This window comes from Homo sapiens, chromosome 2, assembly GCF_000001405.40.
Source record: "Homo sapiens chromosome 2, GRCh38.p14 Primary Assembly".
In the NCBI taxonomy this organism is placed as follows: Eukaryota; Metazoa; Chordata; class Mammalia; order Primates; family Hominidae; genus Homo; species Homo sapiens.
Window position 1 is genome coordinate 108,969,512 of NC_000002.12, and position 14,057 is coordinate 108,983,568.

General features: G+C 49.9%; 2 protein-coding genes across 3 annotated transcripts in view, besides 2 other annotated features; one reads left to right on the forward strand and one right to left on the reverse strand.

Moving 5' to 3' along the window:
• The window catches only part of RANBP2 (RAN binding protein 2), a 1,122,820-nt gene that overhangs the window by 250,030 nt on the left and 858,733 nt on the right, over window positions 1-14,057 (forward strand). The window lies entirely within an intron of this gene.
• Window positions 1-14,057, reverse strand: part of EDAR (ectodysplasin A receptor) — a 94,750-nt gene that overhangs the window by 75,041 nt on the left and 5,652 nt on the right. The gene's annotated exons all lie outside the window — the stretch shown is intronic.
• Window positions 2,270-3,469: an enhancer, noted in NCBI's record as "CDK7 strongly-dependent group 2 enhancer chr2:109588237-109589436 (GRCh37/hg19 assembly coordinates)". NCBI's record gives its function as "activates an origin of replication core promoter dependent on BRD2, BRD4, P300/CBP, MED14 and CDK7 cofactors, with strong dependence on CDK7, by STARR-seq in HCT116 cells {active_cell/tissue: HCT116}" and the evidence as "EXISTENCE:reporter gene assay evidence [ECO:0000049][PMID:35650434]".
• Window positions 3,866-4,365: an enhancer, noted in NCBI's record as "H3K4me1 hESC enhancer chr2:109589833-109590332 (GRCh37/hg19 assembly coordinates)". NCBI's record gives its function as "activates a minimal SCP1, AML or CMV promoter by ChIP-STARR-seq in primed H9 embryonic stem cells {active_cell/tissue: H9 hESC(primed)}" and the evidence as "EXISTENCE:reporter gene assay evidence [ECO:0000049][PMID:30033119]".

Sequence of the window (14,057 nt, forward strand, 5' to 3'; positions counted from 1 at the left end):
TGTTGGCATGAAGCAGACCTTTATATGCTATTCAGGGAGGGCTGTAAAATGGGGGTCATTCTGTTTCAATTTCATTTTTATTCCCTTTATTTCTCAAACTAATTTTTCATTAAGTACAGGAATTTTGCTTTGGGTCATTTAAAGAAAAGATATTTATTAAGTGCTTACTAAAGGCACAGCACCATCTCAGTGCTGAAAGAAATATAAAAGAAGTGAAAGGAGTGTGAGCTGCAGTCCCAGGGGCTTCAGCAGCTAGCTGGAAAGACAGAAACATGTAAAAGAAGAAAACCCAAAATATTAATAACAACGCAAGGCAGTGTGCAATGAAGAGCTAACTTGTGCAGGGATCCAAAAAGGGGTGAAAGAATCACTGAGTTAGAGAAGGCTTCAGGAGAATCCAGAGTTCAATCTGGGTCATAAGAACATACAACTCAGATTTCTTTAAACACAGTTAAAAGTGGGGAAATTGCTAATGGAGGGTCTAGCCAGCCCAGCACAGGCTTTGGTGACGTCTGAGCCTTGGCTATCTGGATGACGTGATGAGTCTGGCTAAGAAGACACTTTCCCCTGTGGAAAATGACGGATGGGTAGTGTGGCCTCATCCTGCAGAATCTTGCTGCTTGAGCTTTGCACTGAGAGGGGAGCATCGCCTGGGAGCTCCTCAGAGCTGGAAAATCTCAGGCCCCTACCCGAGGCCCAGTGGGTCAGAATCTACATTTTTAGCAGAACCCCAGGTGGTACGCATTTGAGTTAAAGAAGCTTCTTTACGACACCAGGAGACATGAGATGTTTGGAGTCAGTGACAGGATGCAGGAAATATTTCAGGACTATTAATCTGCAAATGGTGTGTAAAGGTTAGCAAGAAGAGAACCTGGGAGCCCAGAGTTCACCTAGGAGTCTGTTTCAGAGGCTGAGATATGAAGTGAGGAGGATCCTGACATTGCCTTGGTTATACTGAGACACAAGGAGGGCAGGACACTGAGTGGAGATGGTCTGGGAGCTGGGGCCTCTGGACGGTGCCCAGGGAGCCTGACTGGGCAGGGAGGTGGACAGGATTGCAGGCAGGCCACACAGAGAATAACCAGGGTGGGGCAGGGGACCAAGGTCTAAGGTTGTGGGAATACTTCACTTCCTTCCTGCTCAGGGGATGGGAAGAGGGCCCTTTGGAGAAGACAGAAAAACCATAAGGTAGAAAGAATAAAAGCTAAGATGATGGTTTTTTAAAAGCTATTTTACTAGAATTTCCATAAGCCTGGAATTTTACACCCTGAAGATAAGTTCGGAAAATACACTTTAATTTGTTTGTGGTGCCAATAAAAGCAGGCTCACTAAACAAATGTTTAACCTGGGGAATAGTCTACAGGACTGAACAAATACAAGTGATAGATTTGCTAATTCTTTTCTTTCCCTGTGGAAATAACTACCGTTCAGCAAAACAACCTAATTTGTGGAAGACTTCCAAAGATCACAGAAGGATCTGGATTGATGCTGTGTCCTGCTGTGGACCTGAGGGGACAGGGGATGATGCTGGTGGTGGGGAAATCACAGGGTCCGGCGAGACCGTGCTCACTGGGGGATTCTTCACCCCCTCCGACTCAGTCCTGGTGCCTGGACCACATCCTGGGCAGGCGGTCAGACCCTGATGGTGCTGGCTACATGTTTTCCGTCTCCAACTGGATTCCTTGTTCCATGAGGGTGGGAATCATCTTTATATTTTTATATCTTTATATTTCTGCGCCTTTCTTCCAGCATCTAGAAACTGGCTCTGAGGAGTTCAAAGAGTGGTCCCTGGGATGCACTGCATTACCCAGGAGCTCGTTAGAAATGCCAAATTTCAGGCCGCACCCGAGACCTCCAGTATCAAAATCTTCATTGTAACAAGACCCCCAGGTGATTTGCGTGCAAATCACATTTTCAGATTATGACTCCAGAAGGAGGACTCTCAACCCTGCCCGCACAGTAGCATCACTAGGGGAGACTTAAAACCAGGCATCAGTCTTTTTGAAACTCCCCAGGCATTCTAGCAGAGAGCTGAGTAAATGTTTAGTAAATAAATACCCAGAATGAATGAAGGTGTGAGGGTGTGAGGGCTGAGAGGAAGGGTATTAGAGATAGGATCAGCTCTCTCATTTTATGGAAGAAGAAACTGAGGCTGAGAGATTTAGAGCAATTTGCCCAAGGTTACACAGAAGTTAAAGAGGAGTTGGCATTAGAAGTCAGGTGTTGTGGTTTATAACACATACACAAACTCTTTGATACCACCTTCAAAAGGTGGAGCCTAATTCCTCTCCCTGTGTGAACGGGCTGGATTTTAGTGACTCGTTTCTAGCCAACAGAAAAAAGGGCAGAAGAGACGGTGCAATTACAGAGACCAGGTCACCAAAGGCACTGAGCTTCCTGCTGTGCCGTGGCTGCTGCTCAGTCACATAGGGGCAACAGAGGAGCAGCCGTGGGGAGCTCCCGTGGCCCGGAGCTGAGGCCTCCTGCCGCAGCCACTTGCGAGGCCTCTGGATGTGGGTCCTCCAGCCTGGCCTGGCCCGCAGATGTTGCAGCCCAGCCGACTGCAGCCTCAGGAAGGACACTGAGCCAGAACCACCCAGCGGAGCCGCTCCCTGATTCCTGACCCTCAAAATCTGTGGGATGGTCACATTTGTTGTTTTAAGCAGTTACATTTGGGAGTCATTTATTACACAGCACAGATGACTAATACGCCTTCCAGTCCTTTGCTGTTTCAGCCACACCCCTGTAAGAGACCAACTTCTGTTCCACAGAACTTCAATAGCCATGCCGGCCCAGTTCTCGACAAGCTTAGGATTGAACACAGACAATGATGACCAAATCAAAACAGGGGCAGGGCACTGCATGGTGTGGTCTCCACTCCTTCCTCACGGGCCCTGGAGCCCTTGCCCAACCCTCCTGGCTGGCTTTCATGCCAACGTGCCAGACACTGCCCTTTCCAATCCTGCCCGCTGTGGGAGTGCCGGGGCAGGGCAAGGTCAGGCTGCAACGGGCCGAGGCAGCCTAGGAAAAAAGAGATTGTAGGTGACCTGGGTTCAGAAGCTGGTGCCTTGCCCTGCACGCCAAGTGTTGGTAAAACAAGTGTCTGCACAAGGGTGACGGGTGTCTTCCCCACTCTGCTTGCCTTGTAGCTATGGCTGTGATCAGAGAACTTGACGTGATCATTTGAAAAATAAGCAGCCCTCATCTGATTTGTCAGTCACAAAACAATGGCTCACAGCCCATGCAGATGCTGAGACTCAGAAGGGGGTGAGGACCGGGGGGCCTCCGGCAGGGGCGTTCACTCTTCCTCCAACCTCCCCAACCTTGGCTAGCTGGATTCTCCTCTTTGCCTTCTTGAACTTTCTTCTAGAGCTCTCTGAGCTGGGCACGCCCAGAACAAGGCAACCTGTGCTCCAAGTCCAAAGAATTTCTTAGGAAGAGGTCTCAGCAGGTGTTTATTTTTTTATTTATTTTAATTGAATTTTTTTTTTTGAGATGGAGTTTCACTCTTGTCATCCAGGCTAGACTGCAGTGGCGCAATTTCAGCTCACCGTAACCTCTGCCTCCCAGGTTCAAGCACCTCTCATGCGTCAGCCTCCCCATTAGCTGGGATTAATGGCACCCGCCACCATGTCCCACTAATTTTTTGTATTTTTAGTAGAGATGGGGTTTCACCATGTTGGCCAGGCTGGTGTTGAACTCCTGACATCAGGTGTTCTGCCTGCTTCGGCCTCCCAAAGTTCTGGGATTACAGGCATGAGCCACCGCACCTGGCCTCAGCATGTGTGTATAGTGCCGCCTCCCTGCAAGTTGTGAGACAGACCATTAGAAGCTGACTCAGGGGGCTGGCTAGGGCAGGAGGGCGGTGCAGAGAGAGTGTCCGCCATCAGCCCCTGAGACCTGGGAGGTCTGGGCTCAGTGCAGTGCTGGCTGCCTCCTGCCTTCATTTCTCCTGCTTTCCAGTGCTTTCCAGTACCTGAGGATGCCAAGGGCCTGAACCCTGGCAGAATCTTTCTTTCTTGACTGCCATGGACATTTCCAGCCTGTGAGTGTGGCTCCTGGAATCCTCAATGACTTCTTCCCTCATCTGCAGGGTGCTGGCTGCCTCCGGAAGAACAGAAGGAGAAATGCACTTTCCAGGGGTCGTGTGTCCTAGAACCCATGCCACACATGGTGACCGCTGCCTGTTCTGACCTCCACACCGACTACAAAACCTGGAAATTTTTTGGCTGGAGCCACAAGCTTGGCTTCCATCTCACAATAACGAAAACATCATCAGAGTTCTCAAAGGCCCTTCAACTTTTGAATGCCCCACAGACTTTTGGTTTTATGTAAATAACAACATTTCTTGGGATTCAAGATGAGGATCACAGGGTTTTCAGCACAAGGCTCTTACCCATTTTAAACCAATTACGGAGCTGTAAGCATCACCTTTGTTCACAAAAGGCTCAACAATCCACTTCCAGGAGAGTAAGACCATCCTGTCCATTCATTCTCCAAATAGAAATAATAAGAAAAATAGAAATGCCACATATTGGTCAGGCGCGGTGGCTCACGCCTGTAATCCCAGCACTTTGGGAGGCCGAGGTGGGTGGATCACGAGGTCAGGAGATCGAGACCATCCTGGCTAACATGGTGAAACCCCGTCTCTACTAAAAAATACAAAAAATTAGCTGGGCGTGGTGGCAGGCGCCTGTAGTCCCAGCTAGTTGGGAGGTTGAGGCAGGAGAATGGCATGAACCCGGGAGGCGGAGCTTGCAGTGAGCTGAGATCACACCACTGCACTATAGCCTGGGAGACAGAGCGAGGATCCGTCTCAAAAAAAAAAAAAAAAAAAAAAAAAGAAATGCCACATATTGACTGTGTATTTTGTCTTAGACACGATGGTACCCTGTTTATGAACATTATCTTAATGATTACACCATGAAAAGTAGACATGACTGGGCATGGTGGCTCACGTCTGTAATCCCAGCACTTTGGGAGGCCAAGGGGGGTGGATCACCAGGTCAGGAGTTGGAGACCAGCCTGACCAACATGATGAAACCCCATCTCTACTAAAAACACAAAAATTAGCTGGGCATGGTGGTGTGTGCCTGTAATCCCAGCTACTTGGGAGGCTGAGGCAGGAGAATCGCTTGAACCCGGCAGGCGAAGGTTTCAGTGAGCCGAGATAGCGCCACTGCACTCCACCCTGGGTGACAGAGCAAGACTCCATCTCAAAAAAAAAAAGATACTATTCCCATTTTTCAGATAAAGAAACTGAAACTGAAACTGAGAGGGTAGAGGGAACTTGAAATAGCCAGCAAATGGCAGAGCTGGGGTCTAGCTCTTCCCACCACCCCGAGCTGCCTCACCAGGCCTGCCCACAACACTTGCAGTCTGCATGCTGGAGCTCTAGCCTTTCTGAGGTGTGCAGGGCTCTGGTGGAGATTCAGGAGTCAGAAGGAAGAGCCCATCAACCCCTGAGCCTCTCAGGCAGCCATTCTGCAAGTCCCCTCAGCAAGCACTGCCTTTCTACCTGGCCTGGGAAACCACGGCCCCATTGTGGAATCTGCTTTTCCACGGAGCCTAGCCCCAAGTGCCACCTGGGGCGAGTGCAGCAGGGACCCTGTCTGAGGGTGCTGGGCAGGGTCCAAAGGGGAGCAAATGATGGTGCAGCACTCCAGGAGCTGCAGTCCAGCCTGTGTGGGAAGGGGCAAAGGAGAGAGAGGATCTGAACACAGGGATAGCAGCTGCGGCCTCAGGCAGAAAGGTGCAGAGTAAATCCCCTGCCGGCCACCATGCTCCTGCCTGGGTTCCCACCCGTGTCTTCTATGGGTCAAATCCAGCTGGAGGCTGGGGGCAAGGGAGCTTGTGGGTGCAGCTCAGCCCTGGGCACAGCATCAGGGAGAGGGCTGGAGCATGGGCCGGCGAGACATGGATAGCGCCAGCACATGAGAGCAAGACCTGCGTCTACTTTAACCTGGGACCCTAGCCTGGGTCAACCCGCGGTAGCTTGGTGACCAGATGGATGCCGGAGTGAGAAGAGGTGGGTGGGTGGACTGTAGGCTCAGCTCATTCCTACCCCAGCACTGGAAGCAGGGCAGCAGCTTTGGGGAGGCAGCCAGCACCAATAAGCCTAAAATAGAGCCGGGGGAACAGGGGTGCGGTCTGGGAGCTAAGGAGCTTGCGAAGCCCCTGGCCAGAGCCCTGTGGTGGTCGGAGGAAATGACATGAGGACACAAATTCATTGGTCCAGCAAGAGAAGGGTGGCACTGTCGGCCAGGCTCCGTGCGGCATCAGGATGTCTTGTGGTCACTCCTGAACGAGCTCGAGAAGTCAAGGCCACCCCTCAACTGCTGGACGGCGTTCTGTGGATGGTGGAAAGGGCAGGGCAAAGAGGAGGGTGACTGAATCATCTAGACAAGGGATTTCTTCTGCTTTAGGACAGTTTTAGATTTATAGACAAGTTGTAAATTCAATACAGAGTGTTCCCGGGGACCCCACACCAGTTTTCCTTTTAGGATCTTACATGATGCAATACAGTGGTCATCCCTGATGAACAAATACTGGTGCAATACTGGTGAACTGAAGTTCATACATCTTCAGATGTCCTTAGTTTTCTCCTAACGTTCTTTTTCTGTTCCAGGATCCCATCCAGGATCCCACTTTACATTTAATCATCACACATCCTTAGGCTCTTCTTGGCTAACAAGACAATTTCTGACTTGCCTTGTTTTTGATGACTCAGAAGTTTTGAGGAGCACTGGACAGGTGTTTTGTAGAATCCTCCTCAACTGAGAGTTGTCAGATGTTTTTCTCGTGACAGACTGGGGCTATGGGTTTGAGAGGAAGACCACAGAGGCAATGTGCCATTCTCATCACATGAAGGGTCCATGCTACCAGCATGGCTCAGGATTGCTGATGCTGGCCTTGATCACTGGGATGAAGCAGTGACTGGCAGGATTCCCCACTCTGAAGTGACTCCTTCCGGTGCTCCTTGGAAGGAAGTCTCCAGGCGGAGCGCACACTTAAGGGAGGGAGTTATCCGTTTAACCTCCTCAAGGGCACAGCATCTACATGAATTACCTGGAGTTCCTCTGCACGGGAGACCTGCCTCTTCTCTGTTATGTATTTGTCCATCCGTCCATTATTTATTTGTCAGTGTGAACACATGGGTATTTATTTTAAACTCTGGGTTATAACCCAATATTACATTATTTATTTTGTTGCTCAAATTGTCTCAGCTATGGTGACTGGGAGCTCTTTTAGTTGGTTTGTGTGTCCCTTAGACATACTACCATTTTTTTTTCTTTTTCTTCTTTTTCTTTTCTTAGGACCTCTTTACTTTCTGGCACTACAAGGTGCTCCAGGCTCCTCTTGTATTTTCCCTGCCCCAGCTCTGGAGTCAGCCACTTCTCCAAGGAGTCCTGGTTCCTTTCACTGGAGATTGGCATTAGAATCCCAGATCTGGGTGCACAGTGAGGACTGACAAATGCTAAGATGAAAAGGTGTCTGAGGGTGCCCCAAATACCTCTGACTTCCCAGTTTGGAAAGAACAAGCTCTCATTTAGAAAGACACCTGTGCTGTGATCAGGACGCCAATAAGGAGGCACTGATGATTCCAGTGGCCCCCACTGGCCCGGGCCTGGGTTTTCCTAGATGGCTAAGGCTAAAGGGTGCCAACAGGCCCTGCACCCCTGACCACCCCATGGACCATCAGCACTGCCTTTGCCGCCGGGAGATCTGGTGGCCTCTCAGCTTGGCTCCTGAGAAGCTCGCCTTTTCTTTTTTTTGAGATGGAGTCTCGCTCTGTCGCCCAGGCTGGAATGCAGTGGCGCGATCTCGGCTCACTGCAAGCTGCGCCTCCCGGGTTCACGCCATTCTCCTGCCTCAGCCTCCCAAGTAGCTGGGACTACAGGCACCCGCCACCATGCCTGGCTAATTTTTTTTGTATTTTTAGTAGAGACGCGGTTTCACTGTGTTCGCCAGGATGGTCTCGATCTCCTGACCTCGTGATCCGCCAGCCTCGGCCTCCCAAAGTGCTGGGATTACAGGCGTGAGCCACCGAGCCTGGCCAGGAGCTCGCCTTTTTTGAGTGTTCCTGAAGTGGAAGACTGTTCCTTGGAGTGAGGAGGGACTGGGGACATCTGGACGTCCTCCCTCCTGGGACCCGGCTCTCACTAGGAGTCACTGTTGTTTCAAATGCTGACAAAGCCCTGGAGATTCCTCAGTGAACAGAAGGCCTCAGAGCTGAGGGTGGAAACAGGCCTCAGTGTCTGAAGGACCCACAGCCACCTCAGGACAGTTCCTGCTGAGAGCCGCACCCTCTTTTCTTGTTCTACTTCTGGTTCACACACTTTTTAAGCCTTCATCAACCACAAGACATCATATTAAATGACACAGTAAAGAAACAACAGCCATTTGCTTATTCTCTTATCTATAGGCAGGATCTATGGACTCTGTGGATGCAGATGAAACTCCTCAGGGAGCTTCTATTCTCGTAGAGGAACTCCAGCCAACTTCATCCACAGAACAGGGCTGCGGTTCAAAGTCGTTCTTCCTTCTCCCGACAAATGGCACTGACATAGGGAAGAGCCCAGGGTAGGAAGACCAGCAAAGGGCCCCAGAGGGCAAGGCTACACAGGTCCCGCCCCTGTAATGCCAAGTACAGGGCCTGCTGAGCTACGGCCTTCACTGGGGATAGACGTGCATATCTTTTAGGAACTCATCATTGGTCTATGAAGCAGAAAAGGATCCAGGCAGGGCGTGGAAGTGTTTCAAGGGGTTAAATACACCATCCATGTCTAGAACATCTGATTACATCTCTGTGGTTTCCAATAATCACCATCTTATTAGGTGGCCAGGTCTCCTATTAAGTACAAAAAGCTCAGTAAAAAAACAAAAATATCAAACTTGGTCGACTCTGCGTGTCTTTGCTAATCTGTGGGCTTGTCATATTTGTTAGACGCCTCAAGAGTTTTGCAACGTATTTCTAGAGGGTAGAGCTCCGAGGGAGCCACGGGCTTAGGGAACATGCAGATCCTCCCAAGGAGGCTGAGGTTCAGAGCACCGAGGAAAAGTTTTTTTTTCTTGTTTAACAGTGATTTTTAATAAATAATTCATTTTAACTATTCATATTAAAATATTAGAGAGACCTAGTTAGAACCTGAGGTGCAGTGAAGTTTGGTCAGAGGAAACAGGTTCTGTAGTGAGGCAGAACACCAGCAGACAATGCCCAACCCCGTGCAGGTTTTGGTATGGAGACAGTCTATCGGTAAGCTGGAGAAAAGACGGGAAAATCCATTCTGAAAGCAGGAGGGCACCAATGAAGTTGTTAGCACAGCTGCAAATCTGGTTAAATTAAACCCAACAGGCAAATAATCCACATACAGAGCAGAGGGAAGCAGATAATGTAAACTCCAACGAAGACCATTTGAAAGCTTTCCAAAAGGAAACCATTAACCCGGGAAAGTTCTCAGCAGGGGCAGGAGGGGGTGTAGTGTGTGAAGTACAGACATTCCATTTCCAATTAGGCATCTACTCAGTAAGCAGAGAGGTGCCAGCTTCAAAAACATTCAGTGTTGTGGAAAACCAGATTCACTGAAAATTCGGAAACGTGGAAACATCTGAGGATGCCAAGGCTGCCCCTCCTCTCACTGTGTTTCTCCATCCACTGCCCGAGTACTTGACCCTTACTTAAGGAACAGCTCTTTCTTGCTGTTGGGTAAAAGGAGAATCTGCGTCTTAGAGCCCAGACATGCAGAATTAAAGGTGTCATCTGGTTGGAGAAGTTTAGTCAGATTTGCCTCTTCCATTTGGCGAACCTCACTCCTCCAACACTCTTGTTTGCTGGGGCTGACCCTGGGCTGCCCCCTGCCCCACCACTTCCCCCAGCCTGGTCCAAGCCCCATCCCAAGCTTTGGTTGCTGTCTCTCTCTCTCTTTCTCTCTCTCTGTCTCTGTCTCTCTCTCTCTCACACACACACACACACACACACACACACACACGCATGGCACACCCCAGGAGCTGAAGTGGGGGCTGGAGAAAGCAAGCTAGTAAGCTAGGGGCATGTCAGGTGGCGGCTGGGGACTTGGAGACCCTGAGCCATGCTGCTGAGGTGCAGGGCTGTGGAGAAGAGAAGCCCCTCCTGCCTCCCTACCCAGGGTCAGATTAATCATGAAGGATGCAGATGGCAGGAACTGCAGAGGAGAGGAGGGCTTGAGCAGGTCCAGGCAGCAGTAGCCAACAGAGGAGGAGCCACTGAGGCGCATGTCACCAGCCAAATGGGTCCCTTGAATAGAGTTTCTTCACTTTGGCCATCTGACATGACATGCTTCCTGCTAGGCCCTGACAGCCAGCCTGGCTCTGACGGGCAGCACACGGGTAGGGGGGACACCTGGCATCACTGCTGGGCGGTGGGAAGCAGGGTGCTGTGGCTCTATTATCCTGGCTGAGATGAGGTGTGCAAGTGAGTCTCCTGGCCTCTGCTTCTTCACTTGAAAATCAGTGTGATGCATTCACCTCTCAAGCTTGCTGTATCAGTGACCATGGACACACTCACACTTAACAGATCGCCCATCGTCAAGTTCAAATGAATGGTGTGGGGTGGGGTGGGGTGGGGTCGGGTGGGGGGCTGGGCAAGTCACTCACCACTTTCTCTGTTCTCAACCTGATACTTTACTATTTCAAGGTCTCCTGGTTGTTCTTTAACCCCAGCTCATTTCATTCTCTTCCCTATTTGCTTCACTGATTCCGGACAGTTCTGCAGTGAGAGAATCCCAGGGAGGCCCAGGTGAGTCACATCCCGAAACCTCTGTGAAGGTGAGGAGAGCAAAAGCCCCCTTGGGAGGCTCTGGAGAGCAAGGAGGAAACTGCCACTAATGCTCTGGTGGGCACGCCCTGCCGCTCACCTCAGCAGCAAGTCGTGATTTTAAACTAATACTTATTACTCACCAAGTTCTAGGTTCAAATATATATATATTCACATATATATAATACTTATGTGATATTATGTGTGTATGTATATATTTACATATATATATTTATGTGATATTACATGCATATGTATAAGTCGTTGAGTGGACACTGTTATGGATAAAGGTAAAACAGGAGTCCAGGGGTGGGAGCTGCTGTTTTATACAGTGTGGGGCCAGGGAGGGTTTCTCTGATAAGACGACGTGTTAGCATAGACCTGAAGGGAATGAGCAAGACACACAGACATCTTGGGCCAGCGCGTTTTGGGCAGAGGGAACAAATGCGGCAGCCCTGAGCTTGAATCAGTGTGGCCAGAGTGGGGTCACGGTGTCACTGGTGGGGAGGTGGCCAACCTGGCACCATACTCCATGGGGGCTGGCAGAGCCTGCTGTGTCCCCACACCAACCCCCGTGTAGCTGCCCCTTAACTGCAGGGTCCTCATGGTGTTTTGAAACCTGGCCAAATTGATAGACTGCTCCAAGGAAAGACAGGGACCTCTGACGGACTAGACCGTGGGAATGACTGCCAGGCAGAGGTTGAGCTGACCCGTTAAACTCAGCCCGTGAGTGCATACAGAGCATGAGCAGGACTTCCAATGTGCTCACGGCCCGCTCTAAGCACTCTGCCTGCCTTGGCTCTCGGAAATCCACATAATATTCCCATGAGGCAAGTATGTGACCTTCCCTCGGGGAACTGAAGTGACAGAAGTTACCCAGCAATGATGATCTGACGTTCCACCACCAGCACGGGAAGGGGCTGGCTCTGGGCCTGTGTCCACCTGAGGCTGGGCTCCTCCCCACCCTGCCGCCAGCATTCTTTCCAGAGCCGCACCCGCCCCAGGTGGCTAGCCCATGCCAGTCCAACCCCACCAGGACCAGTCCACCCCAACTTCAGGGAAGAAGAAAGGCTCCTGAGGTTGAAGTTGTCTGGCGCGTCTTAGGTCTGGTATGACTGCTATTGTGAGAAGAATGGCTGGCCAGGTCTGCTCTTGGCCTTGGGGATACAAAGAGAAGCTTCCATTTTCCGCTCTAGCTCCCAGCATCCTGCAGCCCAAACAACACCTGTCCAGGATCCGGGGCTAGCCAGCAGGGCTGTCTGCTGAGGTGTCTCTGGGGAGTTCAGCCATGTTTAGCATTTCACACATCTGTCTATACCTAGACCTCTGCTCGATATATACTATCCCCACACCCGAGATAGTTATGATACAAGGTTAGACTTCAAGCTAATTTGAAACAGCCCACATCATCCCAGCTCTCATTTCTGAACGAGCCCATGGAAACGACAGCAAGGCGAAGTCCATGAACTTACCAGGAGGGAGGTCTCAGGCAAGCCACCTCACCTCTCCAAGCCTTACTCTGCACATGTGTGAAGCAGTGATGATTGTCTCTATTTCACAGGACTGCTGTGCAGATTAAGACGGAAACGCTAAGGAAGCAACAAATGCCCAATAAATGTGGGTTTCTTCAACATTTATTGAATACCTACTGTGTGCAGCCACTGTGCTAGGTGCCAGAGAATGAACAGACGGATGCTTCCCGTCCTCAAAGAGGGCACAGTCAGTGCAACGGCAGGGACAGATGTTTAACGGCTCAGTAACAGCACCATGCAATTTGGCTATCTCTCCTATTTCCTCCTTTCAATGCTTTAGGCCATGAGAATAGGGGCCAGGTCTTTTATTTCTATTAGATCTCCCAAAGCCTTGAGAAAGATCTAGAGCCCGTTGTCTTACAGCAAATGCAGTGGCCTCTCTAACAAAGAAATGTTCCAGGGTAAACAGGAAAGCAGCCACCTCAAACCCCATCCAGCCCACACTGGGAGAGCTGTTTACAGAGATGAACCCAGGGAGGTGGGTGGAAGCCTCAGACCCTCCCTGGTGGGAGGCTGTCCTGCCACCAAAGGCCTCCATCTCCAGAGGCTCCTGCTTTAACTGATGCCGTGGGAGGCATGCAGCCAGTCCTTTAAGAACTAGGGACATTGGCGTTTGCCAGTGTCTCAGTTCTGTTTATTCTGTAAACATAAGGAGGAGCTCAACATTCTGTTGTACTTCATTTTGCAATCTTCACAAAATAAATATTTGCCTTCAAAAGCAACAACTGTGATAATCATCAGGATAATATTCTCCAGCGCCATTTCCCTCGCACATGCCAGGCACAGAAGGCAAGTCAGAGTGCTGTGTGTGGTCTGTTTGGATAATAATTTTCATCTGGAAACCTCAATTTGGAAACCAACTGGCAGTAATTCTAGAGAAAGTTTGGTCTCCTGGTTTTTAGAATTGACTCAAAACCGAGTGTCCCGAGTCACCTAAGTCTCCTTGCTTTGGTTACGTCTGCCCGTAAAATGAGAAGCAAAATTGCTTAGTGAGTGCTGGCGGGAAACTAGGACATTGGCGGGGTTCACAGTGGCCACAGAACAAGGACTGGCCACCCAGACAGGCCAGGTGCCTGCTGCATGTGCAGGGATGGTCTCTCTCTCTCCAAATCTCTCTAAGAATGAGCTAAAATTCAAAAAGAGTTCTGCTGAATGTAAATGGTACTTATTGGAGATTTTATTGCCCATAAAGAAATCCATCAACAGAAAACCACACTCTGCAAATCTACCGATGCACAATTAGTTTGTGCTGCTTACAAATCCCACTCTAAACTCAGCTGTCAGTGCCCTCCCTTGGCCACGCTTCTTGGAGATACAGGCTTTCTGCAGAGGATGCCGCATGTCAACAAACACATCCCCAAAGTGTACACTCTGATTTATCTTCTTCATTATGGACAGGAGGCTTTAGGAACAGCCATTTTGAGTCTTTATTAAGGACTAAATCTTAAAGAAAATGAACCTTGAGACTCCTCTAAAGTACCTTTTAGGGATGCTCAGTGCATTTCCATATTTTTAAGGATTAGGATTTTTTGGGGCCAGAGGTAATGTTTATTACCCAAGGACACAGAGCCTCAATCCAAACAGTAAACCATAAAACCACATCTAACTGGGTAAATAAAATCAGCCAACTTAATAGACATCTGCATCCCACTGGAGCATTCCCCGTGGCCTTCCACTTTCCTGTATTCATCAGACCCCAACCAGACATCAAGTCAACAATCCCGCCCTTCCAG